General features: G+C 48.1%; 2 protein-coding genes across 12 annotated transcripts in view, besides 2 other annotated features; one reads left to right on the top strand and one right to left on the bottom strand.

Annotated features, from left to right (window-relative positions):
* PRSS55 (serine protease 55) overlaps positions 1–9,623 on the bottom strand; it is a 28,635-nt gene extending 19,012 nt beyond the window's left edge. For 4 of the 6 annotated variants that reach the window (XR_948897.4, NM_001197020.2, XM_005272372.5 and 1 more), the window contains exons 1-4: positions 9,416–9,623; positions 5,456–5,648; positions 3,610–3,860; positions 2,107–2,249 (exon numbers count right to left, since the gene is read on the bottom strand). Coding sequence is in view for 5 of the 6 variants with exons in the window: in NM_001197020.2 (NP_001183949.1) it covers positions 2,107–2,249; positions 3,610–3,860; positions 5,456–5,648; positions 9,416–9,569 (741 nt within the window). In the remaining variant the exon portion in view is untranslated. Of the gene's footprint in view, positions 1–621; positions 743–2,106; positions 2,250–3,609; positions 3,861–5,455; positions 6,894–9,415 lie in introns of those variants that run through there. The other 2 variants (XM_017013182.3, XM_047421492.1) reach the window with 2 other exon arrangements.
* PRSS51 (serine protease 51) overlaps positions 1–23,748 on the top strand; it is a 66,431-nt gene that overhangs the window by 12,569 nt on the left and 30,114 nt on the right. For 4 of the 6 annotated variants that reach the window (XR_007060818.1, XR_007060817.1, XM_047422510.1 and 1 more), the window contains exon 1: positions 17,124–17,261. The exons of the other annotated variants lie outside the window; for them this stretch is intronic. Coding sequence is in view for 1 of the 4 variants with exons in the window: in XM_047422509.1 (XP_047278465.1) it covers positions 17,201–17,261 (61 nt within the window). In the remaining 3 variants the exon portion in view is untranslated. Of the gene's footprint in view, positions 1–17,123; positions 17,262–23,748 lie in introns of those variants that run through there. 6 annotated transcript variants of the gene reach the window in all.
* Positions 9,229–10,027: an enhancer, noted in NCBI's record as "H3K4me1 hESC enhancer chr8:10382638-10383436 (GRCh37/hg19 assembly coordinates)". NCBI's record gives its function as "activates a minimal SCP1, AML or CMV promoter by ChIP-STARR-seq in naive H9 embryonic stem cells {active_cell/tissue: H9 hESC(naive)}" and the evidence as "EXISTENCE:reporter gene assay evidence [ECO:0000049][PMID:30033119]".
* Positions 23,394–23,663: an enhancer, noted in NCBI's record as "active region_26992". NCBI's record gives its function as "activates an Ori minimal core promoter by ATAC-STARR-seq in GM12878 lymphoblastoid cells {active_cell/tissue: GM12878}" and the evidence as "EXISTENCE:reporter gene assay evidence [ECO:0000049][PMID:35858748]".

The following is a 23,748-nucleotide window of genomic DNA, read 5'->3' as shown; positions in this document are numbered from 1 at the left end:
GTAAATTGTTTTGGGTAGTATGGCCATTTTAATGATATTGATTCTTCCTATCCATGAGCATGGAATGTCTTTCATTTGTTTATCTTGTCTCAGATTTCTTTCAGTAATGTTTTGTAATTCTTATTGTAGAGATCTTTCACCTCCCTGATTGTCTGTATTCCTAGATATTTTATTCTTTTGGCGGATATTGTGAATGGGATTGCATTTTTGATTTGGCTCTCAGCTTGTGTGTTGTCTGGTGTATATAAATGTCACAAATTTTTGTACATTGATTTTGTATCCCGAAACTTTGCTGAAGTTGCTTATCAGCTCTAGGAGACTTTGGGCAGAGACTATGGGGTTTTCCAGGTATAGAACCATATCATTTGCAAAGAGGGATAGTTTGACATCTTCTCTTCTTATTTGGATGCCTTTCATTTCTTTTTCTTGCCTGATTGCTCTGGCTAAGACTTCTAGTACTATGTTGAATAGGAGTGATGAAAGAGGGCATCATTGTGTTGTTCTGGTCCTGAGAGGGAGGCTTCCAGCTTTTGCTCATTCAGTATAATGTTGGCTGTGGGTTTGTCATAGAGGGCTCTTATTATTTTGAGGTATGTGTAACCTAAGATTTGCTGATGCCAAAGTCCATGCCCTCCCTACCTTTGTTATATTACTCTCTTACCAAAGGAGCTGAGCAGCTACAACCTTGCAAGCAGTCTTCAGTGGAGAGATGATGTCTCATTCCATGATCCTTGAGAGGTGACTAGAGTAAATGGAGTATTATAACAAACTCTAATCAGGGAGGACAGTTAATGTTTTCTGGTCAAGATGTGTGTAGTGCGTTCTTGCATCACTATAAAGAAATACCTGAGGATCTCCAGCCAGGCCACTTTCTCTTCACCTTTCAGAGCCTTTTTGTTTTTATTTTACAAGATACTATCCCGTGCTTTTAGTTGTACTTAGTGGGAGGGGCTGGGAGAATTGTGTTTACTCCGTCTTGTCTGGAACCAGAAGTCTCAATTCTGTGTGCATGTTTTTTTGTTTTTTTTGTTTTGGTAATATTTTAAATTGCCCAGAAAGTGAAGAAAATACAAGGTTCATGTGTCTTTTTGGTCCCCACAGTATTCACCACATGGGGGGCTCCTAAACCTAGTGCTATGCTGCCAGGGTCTACTTCTTACCTCAGAATGCCTTCTCCTTTCTCTTTTCCCTTTCTGCCTCCAACCCCTGTTTCAGTACCCACCTCTCAAGGCTCTCATAGCCTATCAGGGAAAACTACCAATTTTCTCACATTAAACCATAACAGATAGATAAATATCTTTCTTTTCCATGGGGCAGCCTCTCCATCACTGTTCAGAATATTTATCATCTTCATTTGTGGTTTTATACCAACGACAAGGTCCACTGCCTGGCCAATGAGCAGGTCCCTAGTCTTCAGCTGAGACTAAGCAGGTTCATCAGGGTGGCCACTTTTAAGATGAAGGGAGCACCTCTGAGCATTAAAGACAAATGTCATCATTCATCCTTTGAGCCAGAGGAAATTTATGATTTTTTTTCTATTTTTCTGGCTATCAATAATTTTTTAGAAAGAACGTGTATTCATTTTATTAAAGAGAGGCAAAGAGACCAGTCTTTGGTTCAGTGAAACCCACATGCAACACCCAATATTTTATCATTGTTTGTTTATCCACTGCCTGTCCAGGAAACTGTAGGGTCCCTTAGGTAAGGAACCATATCTCATTTATGGGTCTCTAGGGCCTTGTATGCTCAACAAAGGTTTCTAAGTTAATGAACTAAAATGACTTCTTATATAGATACCAAATCCTCCTTGGATTTTTAAAAAGAATTCCCAGAAATGAGAAAAGCCTTGGCGTCCTTTTTACCTAGTGTACCTGAAGAAGATCAGAAATAGTTAAGCAGGGTTGCAGCATATTGACTCCCAGGGTGCTCACTCACAGCTCCAGAGGATCTGAAATCCACATACTCATTCTCATGGCTGCAGGCCCTAATTCCCATACATTTTCCAGACTCAGAATTGTCTATTTGCAGCAGAGAGAGAATACCCTTGCACTGGCAGTTCCCAGAGGGTGAGGACCTATAAGGTGAGGGAGGGTACCCCCTAGTTACCTTGCAGGCATCATAGCTCTCATTCTTGTATCCGGCACACAGCATATTTTTGGTAAGTTTTGGAAACATCTTTGAACACTCCTCCCAGTCCATGATGACCATTGGCGCTTTCATCAGATCCGTTTTCACAGAGTTTTTGTCAGCTGGCCCAGAGAGAAAGCGCATTAGAGAAGCCACTGGGCCTCATGTCCCCACGTTCGTGATGCAGCTGACTGTGCCCTCGGCCCTGTGTCCCCCAGCCCCCATCCCCTTCCTTCACAGGCTCTGCAGCCCCTCACTTCCTTCAGGTTACCCCATGCCTGCAACTTACCCACTCCCCCAACAACTCCCACAGCTACTGGAACTATTCTTCTCATTCAAAACCAAATTTCTACTCCCAAGAAGACTTCCAACTTGACCCCAGTCAGCCCCACAGACTCAGCTTCTTGGAACTGGCTACTGACTGTTTCTCAGCATAATCCTGCCATATCAATACATTTGCCTATTGTGACATTTTATTACATGAGGATGGCATTTCCTTCACACAGGGCCTTGGAAAGTGGGTTTGCACTCCCGGTGAAAAAACTTTAGGTCCTCAGCAAGGGCAGGTTGGCAGAGTGTTTTGAGATGGGATTAGAGGGGATTTGCAGAGGCCCTTTCTGGGCCGCCAGATGCCGGGAATTCACCTGAATTCCTCTCCATCTCATTAACTCTGACCACAAAGAGATTTCACATTTCTTCCCCTGATTGAAGATTTTTAAACTTGTGCATGCCCATGTGCCTCCTCTCCTTCTTCTACCTTTCCAGGAGTGCCTGGAGCCCAGAACTAAGGTCCCACCGCTTCCCCCTCTGGTTGCTAAACTCCTGAAACACCCACGGTTGTCCAGGCCCAGGCTCGCTGCAAATCATCCCTGTGGATCGAGAGCCTCCTTCAGGCTGACGCAATGCTTTGCTGTTCTCATCCCCTCCCCTCCCCTATCTATTTGCTTTTGGTTTTGTTGGGTTTTTTTGGGGGACAGTCCAGCGGGCCCTTCGTCATATTTTTCTGTCCCAGTAGACTTTCTTCTGTTTTGGCCAAGTAACAGCATAACAACAAGGAACAACAGATTCATTTCTAAGAAGAGCCAGGCAACGCTCCAGGACCGTCAGAGCCTAGCCCAGGGTGGGAATCTCCAATGCCTGGAGGAGCCAGGTAGGAAACATACCCGTGGGAATCAGGGAAGATGTTTATGAATACAGAGTAGAGGGGCCTCTGGCTAACTGCAGAGTTTAAATTCAGTTAAACACACAAACCACACTGCTCTGTGCTAGCTGGATCAGACTGCACTAGGGGACTGGCTCAGACCTGGTGTCTCACCTTGGGGTTTCGGCACCCAAAAGGAGCTAAACTTTGGGCACTGTGAGACTCCACTGAGCGGGAATCTGCTCCAATGCAAGTCTTGTCCTCACTCCTTCCTTAGCTTCCTCCCCTCTCCTTCACATTGCAGTGGCTTTTTCCCCAGGGGAAGCTGAGCAGTCACATACCAGCATTGGTCTGGCCCCAACCTGCCACCCAGCATTCGCGCCATGTGGCAGGGCCGGGCTGCGTGGGGAGGCAGATGGGCACCTTCAGGTCATCGAGCTTGATGGGCGAAGCCAGCAGCAGCAAGGCAATGTCATTGTCCATGTTGGCTCTCTTAAAGTCTTTGTGAAGAATGATGCTGGCGACCTCCTTTATTTCCATGGATGGGCTAGTTAAGTCGTTGGTCCCCAGCACGACACTCAGTTCTTCTGGACTGGTGGCAGAGAACCAGAGAGGGGCAAGTGGAAGGGGAAGGGAAGTCTCAAAAGCGGCAGAATTGGCTGTGCCCAGAAACCTAAATCCCATGTAGCTCTAGGACCTTTAAACCCTACTGGGGCTGTTGATCAGAAGGTGTGAGGATTGGAAAAAGGTAGGAAAAAACAAAACAAAACAAAACAAAACAGAATAGCTGGTGTGCAGACCACAGCCAGACCACTGCACCATCAGGGGCCCCAGGGATATGAATGAGGTGCTTCTGTCTAATACAGCAAAGGCCGAGCTGGGTTTAGAGCACTCTACACAGCCCACAAAAAGCCACTTGGCACGGATCAAACTGACCTTCAGATAGATAAGGCATTCATTATTATATCTGTTTTGTATCAACTGGTCTACCAGCACTTTAGAAACTCAGGACCAGAAGTTAGTCTAGACCTGCCACTGACCAAGCAGACAGGATCTTCAGTAATAAGCCCACATTCCGAACCCCAGAGGATATTTGATATCCCACGACAGCGGGTGCCACAAAGGTCTGTGGTTATGCCATGAAGAAACTGTCCCCGGGTTTTTGATTAACCTTCTAAAATCAGTGTGTGTGTCTTCAAACTTCCTTGAGCTGGTGTGGCAGAAAGCACAAGTGCTAGAGCCAGAATTTGAATTCTGTCTCTATATACTAGATGGGTACTGTGGGTGAGCAGCCTCAGTGTATTGGACATCAGTTTCCTTATCTATAAACGAGGGCTATTCATTCTACCTGCTTCAGGGGTCACTGTGTGATTAAATGAGTTAATAGAGGAAAGTTTATTTTTCTTTTTTTGAGATGGAGTTTCGCTCTGTCGCCCAGGCGGGAGTGCCAGTGGTGCGATCTTGGCTCACTGCAACATCTGCCTCCTGGGTTCAAGCAACTCTCCTGTCTCAGCCTCCTGAACAGCTGGGACTACAGGCGCACGCCACCGCGCCCAGCTAATTTTTGTATTTTTAGTATAGATGGGGTTTCACCATATTGGCCAGGCCAGTCTCGAACTCCTGACCACCGAACTCCTGATCCACCTGCCTCAGCCTCCCGAAGTGCTGGGATGACAGGCGTGAGCCACCGCACCCGGCCAATAGGGGAAAGTTTCTTAGCAGGGTCCCCAGCACATAGTTAGTCCTTGGTAATGCCAGGCATCCATCCACATGCTGTCACACAGAGAACGCTCTACAAGGAGCAGGAGAGTAGGGGGTCAGGTGGCCCAGGAAGTCAGGCTTCCAGAATTACAAGGATTTCCCCCTAGATGGACTTGAATGCCCTAGGAGAGGCATTTGGACCAAGCCGCTTGGCTCCATCAAGCCACAGGTGTTCCGGGAGAGGGTAGGTGTGACCTCAGGGAGGTTGTAGTCACTGGCTCTGGTGATGTGAGGAGGACACAGCCTCAGGCTGGCTACCTCCACGTCCCCACAGGCTGGGGGGTGGGTGGATGGGTGGGAGCCATTCATGCCGACTGGATACCGAGCAGTCGCAGGTTCCTCTCAGCCACCAGGTGTGGGTGAGGGGGAGGGTGCCCCAGGGGTGGGCGCCCTGAGAGGTGGCAGTGGGAGGCCCATGGTACTTACAACAGCTCCTCGGAATATAAGCAGTGAGCCGCAGTGAGAATCCACCACTTGTTGAGGATGGAGCCGCCACAGAAAGGTTCACTTCTTGCCTGAATACTCACCTGCCACGGAAACTCACCCACCTCCGCCTCCATCCCCCCTGTGATTCTGGAATACCGAGTTCTTCCCTCGAAAATAGATCTGTCACCACATTCTGGTGGAAAGAAAGAGAGTGGAAAGGAAAAGGGGAAACACTTAGTCAGCATCCAGTGTGAGCTGGGGACCGGGCTGGGAGGAGCAGGCTTCCAAGTGGATATCCTCATCCCCATTCTAGAGAGGAGCTCACTGAGGCTGCCGAGCGGGGCAGCCCTTGTGACATCAGCCGGCAGATGGTTTATTTTGTCTACACAGAGCTCAGCAACAGATAGAGTCAGAAGCATTGGCTCTGACTCTATCCAGCATTTGTGACCTCAGGAGAGTCACTTCACTGAGCTTGTTTCTGCTCTCGTCCAGGAGAAATCGGAAGAAAACAGTGTCCAAGGCTAACCCCCCGTGGTGGGCAGGACAATAGCCCCCAAAGAGGTCCAAGTTCCAATGGGCCATGTCCCCAGAACCTGCGAATATTTTAGCTTGCAAGGAAAGGGGGGCTTTGGAGATGGAATTTGGGTTGCTAAGCACTGCCCTCAGAGTGGGAACGTGATGCTGGCTTTTCTGAGGGGCCAGTGGAATCACTGAGGCCCTTGAGAGGGGTGGAGGGAAGCAGGAAGTCAGGCAGAGGGAGAAGTGACTGCAGAGGAAAGGCAAAGAGACGCAACATAGCTGGCTTTGAAGATGAAGGCAGGGGCCCAGAGAAGTTTCTAGAAGCTGGAAGTGGAAAGGCAAATAATTTTCCCCTAGAGCGTCCAGTAGGAACGCAGACCTGCTGCACCCTGAATTCAGCCCCAGAAGGCCTTTGCTGGAGCTCTGTCCCACAGTACTGTAGGATAAGACATTTGTGTTGTTTAAGCCGCCAGGTGTGTGGTCATTCATTTCAGCAGCCCTAAGAAACCACAAGGGGTGGGGCATAGAAAGTGCCAGAATCTACCGGAAAGCCCTGGCTGTTGTAGGCTAGTCAAGGCTGAGCAGCTCCTTTACTTAGGGGACTGAGAGCAAAGCTGTAGCGCCTGTGCTGAGGCAGGAAATGCCCCTTCCGGACAGAGGCCGGGTCCAGCTCCTCGCCCCAGGAAGAGGAGATGCTCCGTGAATATTTGCTGACTTGACTGTCTGCCTTGTGTTCTGGAACAAGGCATGAGTTTGACTCTAAAAAGCCCAAGACCCTAATCTTGTCTCTTTCTTGCTGCTTATTTTCCAACCATCAGCTCAACAGAAGCTGTGAGTGTTTTGTTGTTTGGGTGACCCTGTGGTGGTCATTTTTGGTTTAAAAAAATACGGGAGTGAGAACTTAGCAATGTGCATCCAGAGCCTTCTGCTCTCAGCAATGCATAAAGGCTCTCTTCGGGACTTTTTTTTTTTTTTTTTTTGAGAGACGAAGTCTTGCTCTATCGCCCAGGCTGGAGTGCAGTGGCACCATCTCGGCTCACTGCAACCTCTGCCTCCCAGGTTCAAGCAATCCTCCTGCCTCCTGCCTCAGCTTCCCAAGTAGCTGGGACTACAGTTTTTGTATTTTTTAGTAGAGACAGGGTTTCACTGTATGTTGGTCAGGCTGGTCTAGAGCTCCTAACCTCAGATGATCTGCCCGCCTCGGCCTCCCAAAGTGCTGGGATTACAGGCGTGAGCCACCATGCCCGGCCTATTCGGTACTTGTGGATCCACACTTCCTCTCTGATTTTATTTACATATGATGCTTACTGTGCGTCAGGCACTGTTGCAAGCACTTTGCAAGCACCGATTCACTTGGTTATCATAACTGCCCTATTGAGGTAGGCCCTCTTATTTTCATCCTCACTTTGTAATTGAGACAACTGACGTACAGAGAGGTTAAGTAGTTTGCCCAGCGTCACACAACTAGTCAGTGACTGAACTATGATATGAGCCCCAGGCCGGCTGGCAACAGAGCTGGTGCTCTCACCACTGCGCCATGTGGCTCTCTGCCTGAAATATTCTTCCCCAGGCAGCTACCTGGCTCACTTCCTCCCTACGCCCAAGAATCCCTTCTTCAGAGTGGCCTTCCCTGACCTGTGTCTATAACAGCCCCTCCCATCCTGGTGACTCCTTATTTCCTACCCTGCTTTATATTTCTTCATTGCATCCTCGTTACATCAACTCCTACATTATCAGTCCCTTTTGCCTGACTCTGGTACCAGAATGTAAGCTCCAGATGGAGAGGGCAACATGCTTGTGGGCTGATTCCCTGATTGAATGACTCCACTCCGGGTGTCTGGAAGGCAGCACATGTGTGCATCTGATGATGTTCACTGCAGCGATCTCTATCATCATGACAAATTGAAAACAAGCTAAACGCTAGGGGTGACTAAAGTAAGCCACATCCATATCATCAACTACTTCTCAGCCACAAAGTTAGGCTCATGGGGCATTTTTAACAACACAGGAAAATGTTTGTGACATAAAATTGAGTGAAAAAGTCAGGATGAAAATCATATTTAAAACTTGTGATTTTATTACGTTGAGAATGTGGGTTTATAAGTATGGAAGGAAGTACATGAACATGCCGAGTGTGTATGAGCTGGGTTGGATGGTGGGCAGCTATGATGGGTGCCCTCTGTCTCTCTGTCTGAGATGCAGAACATGGCACGTGCTCAGGGTAGGCTCTGGGCCAGACAGCCCAAGCTTGAATCCAGGCTCTGTTGCTTATTCACGAAACGATTTAGGGAAAGCTACTTATCGTTGGGTACCCACCCCCCTTTCTTCATTCCTAAAATAAGCATAAGATAATGCCAACTTTATAAGACTGATGTGTGGATGAAATGAGAGGATGGATGTTGAAGCGACCAACAAGTGCTTGCACCAAAGTCAACTCTCCAGAATGAACTGGCAGAAGTTCTCATATCCATTTTGCATCAATGGGATCCATCCCCCACATTCTTGGTCCTGAGATCAACCCACAACATCTGTATGGAATCGTGTTGACTTTCAGGTTCATGCCAGAGCTGAGAGCCTGGAAGCAGTGATGGAAGCAGAAACGGCTGCTTCTAAGTGATCTGAGCGATCACGCATTAGAGGAGCATATTCTGCTGATGCTCTCCCCTCATGCCTCCCACCCCTTGTTCACACAGAGTGCAGTGGACCCTAGGCTGGACTGAAGGAGGCCAGGTGAACCTGCTGTGTTCTGGGCAAGAAGTGGTGTGCACAGGGCATGCAGCCTGGCGCTGCGGTCACCCAGCGCAGGCCAGGCAGACAGCTCTATCATTTCCCCCTGGGGCAACTTTGGGCAAATCCTCTTCCTCAGGCTTTGAGTTCCTCATCCACACGTTGTCTGAGAGCAGATGCCCCACCGTGGTGGTGTGGGCGTTAAACATGGGGAAATGCTCGACCCCTAGCAGTTGCTAGGTACCCCAGCATCCCTGAAGTCTTGACCACCCCCTTGGAGAAGAAATGAGCCATCAGGGAGCTCTGGGGGGCCGGGCACAAGGACAGAAGCACCCTTGCACTTGGCCTGACTGAGCTAGGCATCCCTGGGTGTCTGTGGCTCCTGGAAGCCTGGTGCTGATGGGAGCCACAGAGGCCCAGGGTAGTGGTCCCCCTCCAAGTGGGAGGACTCAGTCTCAGCTAGTTCTAGGCAAGAGCTTCAGGGCAGCCTGCTATTCCTCTGAGGATAAAGTGTCAGGTTTCAAAACCAAAACTCAGGGTTAGACAAGTCAAACACTGGGCCAGGGGAGAGAGGAGAGAAAGGACAAGTGGTTTGGAGAAGGGGTATGTGGGGAGCCCTGGAGCTCTGGCCTTGTGCTCTGCGATCCACCCTCCTGGCAGCCAGTCAGCTGGACCATGAGCCCCCATCCATGCCCCTTCTGCCCCTGTACTCACCACTGACTGGGCTGGGGGGATGAGGGGGCTGAGGGCGGTGGGCTCCCCTAGCCCTGCCTAGGATAGCCACTCCAGCCTCTGGGAGAGGAGTCCGTGGACCGAGCTGAGTTCCCGTGACCAGGGACAGGAGCAGCAACACTGAGAACAGGAGCATGGCCCTGGGCTGTGCTGTGGGCCCGGGGGTGACAGAGGCCAGGGCTGAGGCAGTGAGGCTGAGAGCCTCCAGCTCAGATCCAGAGCCCCCAAGTGATGTCACAATGGGCTGTGGAGCCAAGAACTCAGACTGTAGCCACGAAGACTTCTTTTCTGGCTGCTTTGTTTCCGGGACGGCTGCACAGAGGCACCTCATCTCAGAGCCTTTCTTATCCCAGGTTCCCTTCTCTCTGACCTGGGCACCACCCAGCTTCCTGAGTGTTGCTGATAAAGCCATACCTGAGACTGGGTAACTTATAAAGAAAAAGAGGTTTAATGGACTCACAGTTCCAGGTTGCTGGGGAGGCCTCACAATCATGGTGGAGGGCAAAAGGCATGTCTTCCATGTCGGCAGATAAGAGAGAATGAGAGCCATGTGAAATGGGAAGCCCCTTATAAAACCATCAGATCTTGTGAGACTGATTCACTACCAAGAGAGCAGTATGCGGGAAACTGCCCCCAAAATTCAAGCATCTCCTACCGGGTCCTTCCCACAACGCGTGGGAATTATGGGAGCTACAATTCAAGATGAGATTAGGGTGGGGACACAGCCAAACCAAATCATTGAGCCCTTGGTGGGCACACTGATGCTTTCAGCCATTGTCACCCCCAAACATTTTTTGAGGCTTCTCTGTGAATGTGGGAGTAAGATATGGGGGAAGGGCTTCCAGCCTGGACCCTCGGGAATGGGGTGGGGCCCGGGGACGCCTGGAGGCCTCTGCCAGCACCAGCACCCTGTGGGGTACAGCTGCCCGCTTAGTTCTCTGCTCAGGACTCTGACCCAGGGCCTCAGGTGTGGCCGCACAGGTCAGGTTGAGAGGTTCTGGCTTCCCCTCGTGCCCAGCATGGCGGGTCCCAATCCTCCTCCGACCACCTTCTAGATGGATCCCACGTGGCCCCAAGTCTCCTGATGGGCCCCTGTGCATTCAAGATGAAATGACCAGCCTCGGATGGAGGTTGCTGGTGTGTGCCCTCCCTGGATGTCAGTGACTCAGTCACGGGCTTTGAACCTTGTGTATTTTTAAAACTTCCACACCCCTCAGCGCGCTGACCCAAGTGGACTTACCCAAGCAGCCTGGGCACTGCCTTCCTGGCCACAGGCTGAGCCTCGTGGTTGGAAGTGACTTATGGGCTCAATCGCCAAAGTGCCTGCGTGTCTACCTGCCCAGTCTTACCTCCTCGGTTTTCTCATCTGCAACAGAGAAACACGATGCTCACTGGCGTGCAGGTTACTGTGAGGCTTAAAGTGAGATCACATGACTGTCGAGGTGGCCTCTCATGGGTGTAGCTCGAGCTACTGCCCAGGGAGGAGATTCCAGGACTTCTCTGCTCTTTCTCCCAAGGCAGCTCCCTGGCGAAGGTTGCTCCTCACTGCTCAGGCATCCCCTCCGAGGCTGAGCCACAGCCTGTTGAGTGGCCCTGGGTGGTGCCCTCCCCACCTGCTCTAAACCATGCCTCACCCGTCTTTTCAACAGGGGATGCCTGGCCCTGATGGAGGCCAGGACTTCCTGACTGGCATGTGGGACAGGAGCCCACAGCACACCCAGGCACCTGGCCCTGGTCTCACCACTTAGTCTCACTCCTTGGCCCTCAGGGTGGCTAATAGGGAGCTCCCTGGCTTTCCTCTTCCCCTCCTTTGGGCTCAGGTCCCCACTGGACCTGCTACTCATGCATCTGCTATATGCCAGTGCTTTCTCCTTCGCTCAGTTTCTATTGGTTCTGGGGGTAGGGTGTGGAGGGGAGGAGGAGTCTGGGCTCCAGGTCTGATGAGGGAATGGAAGATGACAGCTAATCTCACAGATGGAGAGACAGGGGGCACGGGCATATCCACTGCAAACTGCTGCTCATTTTCAATAGAAGTATCTGAACAAAATCATCCATCACCTCCAGAAAGATTGATTTCCTGCTGAAGACCACACTGTAGAGTCTCCATCCCTCCCAAGAACATGACTTAGGTCTATTCTTGTGAAATACTCATTCACTGTCCAGCATTGCTTTGCAAATCTTCACAGCGATGCTGGGTTGCACCATGTCCCATCTTCTGGATGGAGACATCCCAGCCTCACATGCTGAGCTCTGCACAACTCCAGAGAGCGCCATCCCCCATAGACTACAATGGGAAAGTCTCTCCCTTGGACTGGGCAAACTAGGGGGTCCCGGGTGAGGAGAGCAATGCCAGTGCTCTAGAAGGAATTTGATGAAATTCAAAGAGGAAAGGAGGCACATGATGATATAGGTCGGATATGGGTGGTGTGGGGACTGTTGCCTGGCTGATGCCCGAGAGGCCCCTGGGTAGCATTGCCTTGGGGACTTTACCAAAGTCTTGGCCAGTGGTTCTCTGACTGTCTTAGACTGTTTGTGTTGCTATGACAGAATACCACAGATTGGGTAATTGTTTTTTTTTTTTTTTTCTTTGAGATGGAGTCTCACTCTGTCACTCAGGCTGGAGTGCAGTGGTATGATCCTGGCTTACTGCTACCTCCACCTCCCGGTTCAAGCGATTCTCGTGCCTCAGCCTCCTGAGTACCTGGGATTATAGGTGCACACCACCATGCCCGGTTAATTTTTGTATTTTTAGTAGAGACAGGGTTTCACCATGTTGGCCAGGCTGGTCCTGAATTCCTGACCTCAGGTGGTCTGCCCTCCTTGACCTCCCAAAGTGCTGGAATTACAGGCGTGAGCCACCACTCCTGGCCAGATTGGGTAATTTATAAAGAATGCAAATTTATTCTTTCACAGTTCTGGAGGCTAGGAAGTCCAAGATCAAGGTGCCAGCAGGTTTGGTCTCTGGTTCCAAAATGGTGCCATATTTCTATGTCTTGTGGGGAAGAGGAATGTTGTGTCTTCAAGTTCTTCAGAGGAACAGAAGAGAGTGAACCCACTCCAGCAAGCCCTTTGTATAGTGGTGTTAATCTATTCATGAGGACAGACCTTTCATCACCCAAACGCTTCCCAAAGGCCTCACCCCTCGACGCTGTTGCATTGGGGATTAAGTTTCCAATGCGTAACTTTTGGAGGAGACACATTCAAACTGTGGTCCTGACTTCGATGTGCAGCCTAGGGAGCTTGTTCAGTGCAGATAAGGGTTGCCAGATTCAGCAAATAAAAATACAGGATGCCTTGTCAAATTTGAATTTGAGATAAACAAATATTTTTAGTATAAATATACTCCATACTGTTTTTAGGACATATTCATCCTAAAATAATTTGCTGTTTATTTGAAATTCAAACATAACTCATGTCCTATATTTTATCTGTCAACTCTAGTACGTGTTTACAGGCTTAGTCCTTCAGATCCTGATCCAGTGGGATGGGGCGGGCCGGGGGTGGGGGAGAGGTCTGAGCATTTGTAACAGCACAGCTTCTTCCAGATGAATCCAATGCAGATCATCTCTGGACATCTTTGAGAAGCATCAGTTAGGCCTCCTGTAGAGAGCTTTGCTGGGATCCCTGGGGTCTAACTCACACTTGGGAAATCTGGAGGTGAGAGAATGGTTCTGGGAGGGATGCTGCTGGGTAGGGACTGTCCTGAACCCACAGTTTTTCCTTGGAATCAGTGTGTGCTGCACAGAGAGAGAAATGCCTGAATTTCCCATGAGGCTTCCTGGAGGGGGCAAGGAAATCTGTTAGAAAGAGTCTGGGGTGTATCACCAGGTGCACACGGGATGACAAAGAGCAGAAAGCAGCACGCTACAGAGAGAGCCCCACCCTGGCCTGGGGACCTCAGGAGAAAGCCACCCAGCAGGGAACCATGGAAGAGCCCGTGAAGATACCACCGAAGAGCCAGTCTTCAATGTCTGCCAGGCCCAAGGAACAGTGAGCTGATGTGTGGGCTCACCTGGACCTGTGCCTTCCCCTAAACTTTCACCTGCTGGGGGCAGGTGAGCAGAGTGGGAGGTGAGAAAGGAACCTTGTTCCTAACTGGGCCCAGGTCTGGAGGAGGCTGAGCACTGAGTCAGATTCTGTGTCGAGAATGTGACAAGGACGAGGGTATTCTAGTACATAAATCACCCTGAATTTGGACCCAGGTGACCGCAGGACTATTACCTAAGAATAATCAGAAAAGCTCCAAGTCTAAGTTTTATCTGGACAGAACATATCATGCCCTCTGAATGGCTTTTTTATTTTTTATTTTTATTTTTTTGAGACAGAATCTCGCTTTGTCCCCCTAGGCTGGAGTGCAGTGGCGTGATCTCAGCTCACTGCAACCTTCATCTCCTGGGTCCAAGCGATTCTCCTGCCTCAGCCTCCCAAGTAGCTGGCACTACAGGTGCCCACCACCATGTCTGGCTAATTTTTGTATTTTTAGTAGAGACCGGGTTTTACCATGTTGGCCAGGCTGGTCTGAAACTCCTGACCTCAGATGATCCACCCGCCTCATCCTCCCAAAGTGCTGGGATTACAGGGTGTGAGCCACGGCGCCCAGCCTCTGAATGGCTTTTAACAGGACCGTGGGAGACAACGAGCTGTGTTTTGATCACAAGCTACGTCGCAGTGCCCATTCCACTCCTCAGTGCCTTTGCTGCAGTGTTTTCCTTCCAGGCTGGTGGGAAAGGTCTGGCTGAAGCCTCACGATTCCTCCATGTACAGCAGTTTGCTGAACAGCATGTGTGGAAACCTACAAAATCACACAAGCATGGGCAAGTCCCCTGACACAGGCAGGCAGATGTCTGGAACAATGGCCACACTCTACCTCCTCCCCCTCCCCAGCTCTCATGTCGGTCTTGGCCGATGGGTCACAACTGAGCCAAAAACTGGCCTTGGAATCTCTTCCAATGTAGCAGTTTGGGCATCTATCACCCGGTGAGCAGATGAAACCCGCTGCCATTGTTGGACTAGGACCTTACAGACATATAAGGACCTCACAGGGATGAGGGATCTCCAGCAGAGATGAAGGTCAGAGGCTTTGGGAGGATGCTTCTTGTGTCCTCTCTGATATTTACACGGGCACTTGGTGTTCCTAGAAGCTGTTCTTCTATTTAGATTGCGTGCATTGTTTAGGAGGTGGTCTGACTGTTGCTTTAGAGAGTGGGTTCTGGAATCAGTCGTACCTTGCTTCTAATCCTGCTTCTGCCATCTCCACAAGGGGCTGTGGACAGGTTATCTAGCCTCGCAGAGCTTCACTTTCCTTATCACTACATGGGGGATAAGAATAGGCTGACCTCCGCAGTCACAGTGACGACAGCATAGTAAGGCATCCATAACTAGTTTGCTGTGATGATGGCGTTGATGTTCTGCAGCCCAGGTTACAACTTTAACCACCAAGTTGGCATTTTCAGCCAGTGATAGATCACAGCCATAGACTTGGCTCAGGCACATGAGATCTCAGAGGCCATTCCCATCTAACCCTGTCTGATTCCAAGTGAGTCAATGGGGTGTCGGAGGGGCCGGGTGTTGATTGGTTCTGATGCTTTCCTGAGTGCTGATGGGTTTGCATTTCAGAACAATCCCAAGAACCAGACGAAGTCAGCCCCTGCCTCATTTCATGGAGAAGGATACAGCCAGCACCACAGGTCACTGAGCGTCACACCTGGATTCCAGTGCAGGTTGCCAGTCTCAGAGGCCATGCTGCCGTCGCGTGTGCTTTTATACACAATCCTGTTGAATGCTCACATGATTTTCCTTAATCCTCTCAAAAAACCCACGAGGGGGAAGGAGACTCAGACTTTAAATGACTTGGTCAAGAGAATGCAACTCATCAGGGTGAAGCCAGGACCACAACACCTCAGGGTCAACCCCTAGCTTGAGTGGGAGGTAAGGCCTTCTCTTCTCAGGGCCAGCCATGCATGCATGCATTCATTCATTCCGACTATTTATAAGTGCCTAATATGTTCCAAGCATCATTCTGAAAACTGGAGATAAGGGAGTACATATAAAGGAAAAAGCTCTCACCCTCATCCAGGTTATAGTCTAGTGAGACAGACAGAAAGTAAATACTGAAGGCATAGATGATGTCAGAGGGTGATAACTGCTAGGGAAAAAAATGAAGCAGAGAAGGGCATGGGGAGGGCAGGCTGGGAGGCGCGCGTGCTGTTTTCTGCAGGATGATCGGGCAGGTCTCACTGACAGGGCGACTGGGAAGACACCTGAAGGAAGGCGGGAGTGAGCCTTGGAGATAACTGGGGGGACTTCTGGATAACTTGTGAGCCTTGTAGATAGCTGCTGTTCCAGGCAGCAGGCACTTTATTCATTTCTTCTTTGAATGACAAAGACTGTGGTTGTAAATGAGAAGAGATGGGGAGGAGGCTGTAGGTAAGTCACTGACAGGGAGGGGATTGGGGAGCTGTTTATTTTGAAGGATTTAAGGTGGCATGACTAAAGCACCTTCAAAGGCTGATGAGAAGGATGTGGAAGAGTAGGAGAAGGGGACGATGAGGGAGGGTGCACATAACCAATGGTATCAGATCCCTGAGGCTGTGGGAGGAGCAGAGGGGAGGGATTATCTGTAATCAGAGGCACCTGTCCTTGGAGCGTTCTTGGCCCATTTTCCGTTTTCCACAGCAACTCCCTCTCCTGGGTTTCCTCCAGCTCTTCTGGCAATTGCCAGCTTCCTTTTCCAGCTCTGCCTCCTCTGTGTGGATGCTGAGGGTCCTTCAGGGTCCAGCCTGGGCTCTCTGTGCTCCTCTGTGCAGATGCTCTCCCTGGGCGACCTCACCCATCTCCGGACTTCAATAGGTTGACGACTCCCCAGCTTATCCTTCCACCCTAGACTTTCAGATTGGGCTTGTGGCTGCCTGGTCATCCTGCCGAGCCCATCAACCATGGTGCCTCTCCGCTCCGCCTTGTTGCCTGTGTTTCTCTCCAGGTCCACCATGTCTTTCCTACTTTAGGCCCCTGTCATGTCCCATCTGTATGACTGGAGCCACTTCCTATGTGATACTCTCTTCTAGTTTCATCCACTCCAAAGTATTTTTTTTTTTGACAGGATTTTGTTCTGTTGGCCAGGCTGGAGCAGTGGAGCAATGACAGCTCACTGCTGCTTCGACCTCCTGGGCTCAAGCATCCTCTTGCCTCGGCCTCCGGAGTAGCTGGAACCACACGCACGCACCACCATGCCTGGCTATTTTTTATTTTTATTTTTTTTAGTAGAGATCGGTCATCTTTTAATGCAAATGTTACCACATGACCCTCTTTAATTCTATCGCTTCCTCCCCAGCTGACCTCATGGGTAAGATCCAAATGTCTTAACAAGGCGTTTCAGGCTTTCTGTAACGTGGTTCCAGAGAACATAAAAAATCACCCAAAGACCTAGAGCTATTTAACACCAAGGCAGACAAGGAGTAAAAGCATAGCGTCAAAGGTGGGAGGGGAGCAGGCCGACAGCCGCTCACCCAGCCTGGCCCTTCCAGGGTGCCCCGTTAGCGCCTGCTGCAGAGGGGACGCGAGACAGGGAAGGACTGGACATGCGGACTCTGCTCACCCAGGCTGACCTGCATCCCCTGCCCCTCCCTGAGCCCAGGGCTCAATGTGAAGTCACTAGTCCCACTCTGCCCTGCATTGTGATGCCCCTGCCAGAAACCACTGTGGCTGGCATGTTGTCAGCTCTGGCTGGAGGCAAAGGTTTGGCAATTTTGGACTGGAATTGACAAGAAGATGTTCCAGCTTCTAATTCCCCTGCTTTTGGCACTCAAGGGACATGCCCAGGACAATCCAGGTCTGTGCCAGGCCCGCTAGGAGCAGAGGTTGGGGGAAGGGATGCCACCTCTTACCTGGCTCCTGGAGAGTTGACTTAGAGGCCCCAGGGATGCTGAGTTAGGGCCAGTGACTCAGGAAATGAAGAGATTATAGTTGACCAATCCAAGTCCATGTATTGGTTCTGCAAAGATGCTGTCTAAAATGATTCCCCAGGGTCTGGACCCAGAGTTCTGGAAGCTCAGGGGAATTGGAGGAATGATTTAGCAACTGACTTTGCTTCTCATCTCCACCTTCCTCTTTGTAAAATCATTAACAATCTTTCCAGGCCCAACACCCTGGGGGAGGCAGCAAAGTAGTGGTGGAGTAAGACCTTATTTAATTTAGAATGCCGGTATTAGATTATATAATCTCATAACATGGAGAACATGATAGGGCTATTATGTGGAGTAAATGAGTTAATGCAGAATTTGTTCTGCAAAGCCTCAGTCCTGGGAAAAGCTCCGGAGGGAAAAGTTCTATGTTAGACATGATTTGGAAATGTTCCATTTGATAATTTTTCTGTAGTATCACTGTGGATAACCATATATAAAAGGCTCTGATATATTTTACAGTAAAGAAAGTGGCCTAAGTTTAATTTTATTGAATCTCGCATTTTTGAGATGTATCCATCCATAAGATCACTCTTGCCCCAACTCCCAGCCTGATTCAGAACATTTTATATTTATTCTTCTGAGAATTACCTGTTCCTAGAGTTTTCCCATTTTTCTTATCTGGGTGAGCTTTTAAAGTTGATTTGTAGGACCGTTTTGAATTTTAATGACATCAGAGCTTTGTCTCTTATAATTGCTGCAAAATCTTCCTAATTCTTCAGTTCTCTTGCAATTTTATTTTGGACGAAACAAATTTAAAACGTGTGTAAAAAACTTGTCGGTATTTTCACTTATGATTCTTGGCTTTTATTTCATGTTTTTGGAAGGGCTTTTTCATCCCAAGAATATAAATCCAGCATATTGGACAGCATAGAGTGAGCTCTGAAGTAAGATTGTGTTCTAATTATATTTCCTCCATGTACCTGCTATGTGACCTTAGGATGAGTTACTTAACGTTTCTGCATTTCAGTTTCCTCATCTGCAAAATGGCTGTATTAAGGTTGTTGTGAAAATGAGTTTTGCACAAAGCTCTGAGAACTGTGCTTGAAACTTTGTACATACTCAAAATTCGTTAGCTTTTATTATTCTAGAGCTTTCGTGACTTCACTTCTTAAATTAATTTTTCTGCATTCTGGATTAGTAAAGATATTTTCCTATGTTATTCTCTAGACGTTTCATACTTTCATCTTTTACATTTAGATTTTGAATCCATTTGGTATCAATTTTCATATACAATAAAAGGATCAGGATGAATTTTTTTCCACCTGGATATCCTACTGACCCAGCTCATCTGGGAACATTTGTTTCCCAGCTGCCACTTTTGTCAAAAATCAGGTCTAATTATATCTATCAGGCTGTTTGTAGACGCTGCTTATTTCATTGGCATATTTATTGATCTCTGTGTCGCACCACACAGTCTGAATTCACACAGTTTTATAAAAGTCATTAACGGCCTATGCGCGGTGGTTCATGCCTGTAATCCCAGCATTTTGGGAGGCCGAGGTGGGTGGATCATGAGGTCAGGAGTTCGAGACCAGCCTGGCCAACTTGGTGAAACCCTGTCTCTAATAAAAATACCAAAAAAAAAAAAAGAAAAAAAAAGCCAGGCGTGGTGGCAGGTGACTGTAATCCCAGCTACTCAGAAGGCTGAGACGGGAGAATTGCTTGAAGCCAGGAGGTGGAGGTTGCAGTGAGCCGTGATCATGCCACTGCACTCCATCTGGGCGACAGAGTAAGACTCTATCACAAAAAACAAAAACAAAAAATCAACAACACTGCACCAGTGCTTGCTGCTTCACCTGTGCCCCCCTCTGCCCATCACATCCAAGGTGCTCAAGCTGTTATGTGCCATGTCGGTGAAGCTTCTGGGCCGTGTGTTGTTATTGCCTGGTATATTGCAGCAGCTCTTGAGGAGATGAAATATTATTCCATGTGTACACTTGTAGCCCAGTTTACTTGTGAAGTGCCCATACTCCTAGGGTGCAGACCATGAAGCTCCTAAACAAAGCCACAGGAACTTAGGCCCCTCCCCATCGACTGGTCCTAGAGTTACAAACTGCCAAGTTGCCCCCAGGGCATTCCTATTGCCTGGCTCACCTCTTTGGATTTCCTTCTTTTGCTATAAACTGGCCCAGTAACTCTTCATTAACTTAACTCTCTAGTGCTTTCGAGCAAGGGATGTTACATATTTTACACTTTGTAGTTATTCTCAGCAACAAGGTTGTCCAAATTTCATATTCCATCTATTTTGGTTTTAATTTTTCTTTTCTTTTTCTTTTTTTTTTTTTGAGATGGAGTCTCGCTCTGTCTCCCAGGCTGCAGTGCCGTGGCATGATCTTGGCTCACTGCAACCTCCGCCTCCTGGTTCAAGCGATTCTCCTGCCTCAACCTCCTGAGTATCTGGGATTACAGGAGCCTGCCACCATGCCCAGCTAATTTTCCTATTTTCAGTAGAGTTGGGGTTTCACCATGTTGGCCAGGCTGGTCTCGAATTCCTGACCTCAAGTGATCTGCCCACTTCCGCCTCCCAAAGTCCTGGGAATACAGGGTTGAGCCACTGTGCCCGGTCTAATTTTTCAATTCTGTTATTACCCCTTATTTTTTCTCTGTTCCTGCCAGCTCCTTTTTATTTTATTCTTTCCGCTTATGAGCTCCTGTTTTATAGTGTTTCATCTTTTCTTCAACATCCTTGCATAAAACAGCTCTAAGCTATTTTTTCCCCTGATACTAGCCAAACAAATGTATTATTCATGTGTATGTTGTACATTTTGTTTCTTTTTTTGTAATAGTTTTGCAAGATTTTCCTATTTTTCAGCTTGTTTGTTTTTAACTCGGGGCCAGTTCTAGGAGATCTGCCTTTTGGTCCACATGATCTAGATAGAAACCCACTGCTGTCTTTCCCTTCTGACATGAGCCTAGTCATGATCTTCTCTCTGTACCGGGAGGGCTGTATGCTGGCAATTTATCATCCTGTTCAGCCTGCCTGGGGACAGTGGCGAGGGAGTTGGGGTCAGGATCAGTCACAGTCCAGGAATACATTATTGGAATACTTTCTCTCAAAAGGGGGCCAGGAAAGGAGTGAAGTTCTATCAGCTTGGATGGAATCTTTTCATGTGTAGGGGTATCCTTGGATTTTAGGAGGTTCTTCCCTCCTTGTGATGATTTTCTTGAAACTCAAAGCCTTTTTAATTTCCTGAGCCAGATACATATTTTTCTCTGCAAACATGGCTCTAGTACCGCCTGGGAAACTTAGTTGCCTCCTCATGATGCCCCCAGCCTTGTAGAAGCCGTGTCAAGGTTGGGAGGGGAGGCATCATACAGGCAGAGTGTTCACTCCAGCCTGTCCCAACAGAGGTCAAGTGGCTTCCAAGGAGAGCTCCCTGTCCTTTCACTGTCTGCCTAGCCACAGGCTTTTGTCCTCTGAGCTGTAGGTAGTGGTGGGACTCTGTGGACTTTTCTTCATGTTGTTCCCAGGCCTCTGCATTTCAAGGAACTCTAGAATAGCAATGCTACATGTCTATGTGTATTTTCTGGGTCTCCTTTCATCCTGGTAAAATTATAATGAAAACATACAAAGTTTGCAGCAAGAGTTTGGTTCTTCTAATTTCAACACAGATACTTTTTTTTTTCTTTCATAAAAATGCATTTTGGCCTGGCGCGGTGACTCACGCCTGTAATCCCAGCACTTTGGGAGGCCGAGGCAGGTGGATCACCTAAGGTCAGGAGATTGAGACCAGCCTGACCAACGTGGTGAAACCCTGTCTCTACTAAAAATATAAAAAGTTAGCTGGGCGCAGTGGTGGGCACCTGTAATCCCAGCTACTTGGGAGGCTGAGGCAGGAGAATTGCTTGGACCTGGGAGGTGGAGGTTGCAGTGAGCCGAGATCGCACCATTTGCACCCCAGCCTGGGCAACAAGAGCTGAACTCAGTCTCAAAAAAAAAAAAATTAAAATATATTTGGTTAATTTCAGTATACACCTAGGATAGATGTATATGTATATTGTGTGCATGATGTATTTATAAGCCATCTTTCCTCAAATGTCACTGTAAAGTTATTTTACAATTCAAAGAAAAGATTATATATTAAAACTCAAACTACAGACCCGATTTTATTTTAAAACAACTGAGGCATATTGAAAATATCTAAATATATTAATAAAGGGTCCAAATCATCAAAAAGAATGGTGGTGGAACTATGGCCAAATATGGCCAATATCTTTTCATAAGGGCCATAGTGTAGAGAATGTATGTCAGGGCCTGGAAACTATTTTCCTGGTTCATCCATGGAAAACGTCCAGATGGTGGAAATCCTTGGTGGAAAAATCTCCAAGGTTTTGCTATGCATAAGGCAAAAAAGTGATGATTTCCCATGGGGGCTAGCGAAAATAAAGCATATAAAATGTAAGTTAGAATGGGGAGCTTGCTTCTTTCAGCTGTGTCCAGAGAGGCAACCCTAAAACGTGAGTCTAGCGTTACAGTGGCCAGAAGGAGCAACGGCACGTGAGTAGGCAGAACTGTGCACTAAAGGCAGTATAGTGTTGTATTAGTCCATTCTCACATTGCTATGAAGAAGTCCCTGAGGCTGGACTGAGACTGGGTGATTTATAGGAAAGGAGGTTTCATGATTCAGTACACTGCACAGGAAGCAACGTGGCATCTGTTTCTGGGGAGGCCTCAAGAAGCTTCCAATTATGGCAGAAAGCAAAAGGGAAACAGGCACTTCACATGGCCAGAGCAGGAGCAAGAGGGAGAGAAGGGGAAGGTGCTACACACTTTTAAACAACAAGATCTCGCGAGAACTCACTATCGCGAGAACACAACCAAGGGGATGATGGTAAACCACTCGCGAGAAATCCACCCCATGATCAAATCCGCTCCCTTCAGGCCCCACCTCCAACTCTGGTACTACAGTTCAACACGAGATTTGAGTGGGGACACAGATCCAAACTACAAGTGTCGTGCTCAATTCCAGTGACTCTAGAACCAGACTGCCTGGCTTCTGTTCTGGGTTCCAGCACTTACTAACAGTATGCTCCCGAGGAAATTGCCTGCCTCTCTGGGCCTCCGTTACTTCTGTGAAATAGATTTAATAATAGAATCCATCTTATAAGTGAAGATTAAAGGAGTTAATATGTATAAGATCAAGAACATAGCACAGTGCCTGGTCTACAATAGGTATTAGCTGTTACTATTGTAATGTCCTGCCCTGTAGGATCCTTGAGGAAGGGGCTGGGCCTCATTGACAGATGGTCTTTGTGGAAGGAATAGCATTGAACTAGGATTGAGAAGACCTGGGTTTGAAGCTCACATTTGCCACTAAGATAATATACAACCTTATGCCTGGTTGATTTTCAGTAAATATTTCTGAGATGAATAGATGAGTGAGTGAATAATGAATAATTAATAGCTCTTTGTTGCTACCCAGATTCAACCAGTTCCTGAGAGAGAATCAAGGTTTCCAAGGTTTTGTGCCAGCAGAAGTAAGACTTTCTGATTCAATCCTCTAAACGAGTTGTTCTGAGCACAGTTTGAAGATCTAAAAAGCTTAAAATTGGGATAAATAGAAAGTGAAAATTATGGGTGGTAAACCTCTGTGAGTAATGACTCCAAAAGGCTGCATAAGCTGAAATTATAAAGTGCTCAAAACATTCAGGAAATGTATAGCTTTTTTGTTCACTCATTTATTCAATAAACATTTACTGAAACTTAACATATTCAAAGACTGTTAAATGTTAGCAACACAAAGAGGGCACAGTGTGATTTACAGCCTCAAGACATTTATAGTCTAGTCACGGAGACAGACATGTCAACAGATAATTAATACAACATGGTGCGTGCCCTGTTGACATGTTTTCGAGATGCTTTGGGGTCTCAGAGGGGCTGAATGTTGAGTTGACCACAAGTGGCCAATGATTTAATCAATCATGACTATGTCAAAAAGTCTCCACAAAACCCCCAAAGGCAAGAATTTGGAGCCATTCCAGGTTGTTGAACACGGGGAAGGTGGTGTGCCCAGAGAGGGCATGGAAGCACCACGTCCCTTCCCCCATACCTTGCCCTGGGCATGTCTTCGTTTGGCTGTTCATCTGCACTATTTAAAATATCCTTTGTAATAAATGAGCAACAGTAAGTAAATGGTTTTTCCTGTGTTCTGTGAGCTGCTCTAGTGAATCATGAAACCTGAGGATGGGGTTGTGGGAATCCCCAGTTTGTAGTCAAGTCAGAAGTTGTGACCTGGGAACCTACTATTTGTGATTGTCATCTGAAGTGGGGGGTTTGAAGCGTGAGACTGAGCCCGTACCTTGTGGGGTCTGCGCTAACTCTGGTTTCTATCAGATTGAGTTGAATTGTAGGAG

The sequence above is a fragment of the Homo sapiens genome, chromosome 8 (genome assembly GCF_000001405.40).
Source record: "Homo sapiens chromosome 8, GRCh38.p14 Primary Assembly".
In the NCBI taxonomy this organism is placed as follows: domain Eukaryota; kingdom Metazoa; phylum Chordata; class Mammalia; order Primates; family Hominidae; genus Homo; species Homo sapiens.
Note: the sequence above shows the minus strand (reverse complement) of the source record. Positions and strands in the feature narration are given on the sequence as shown.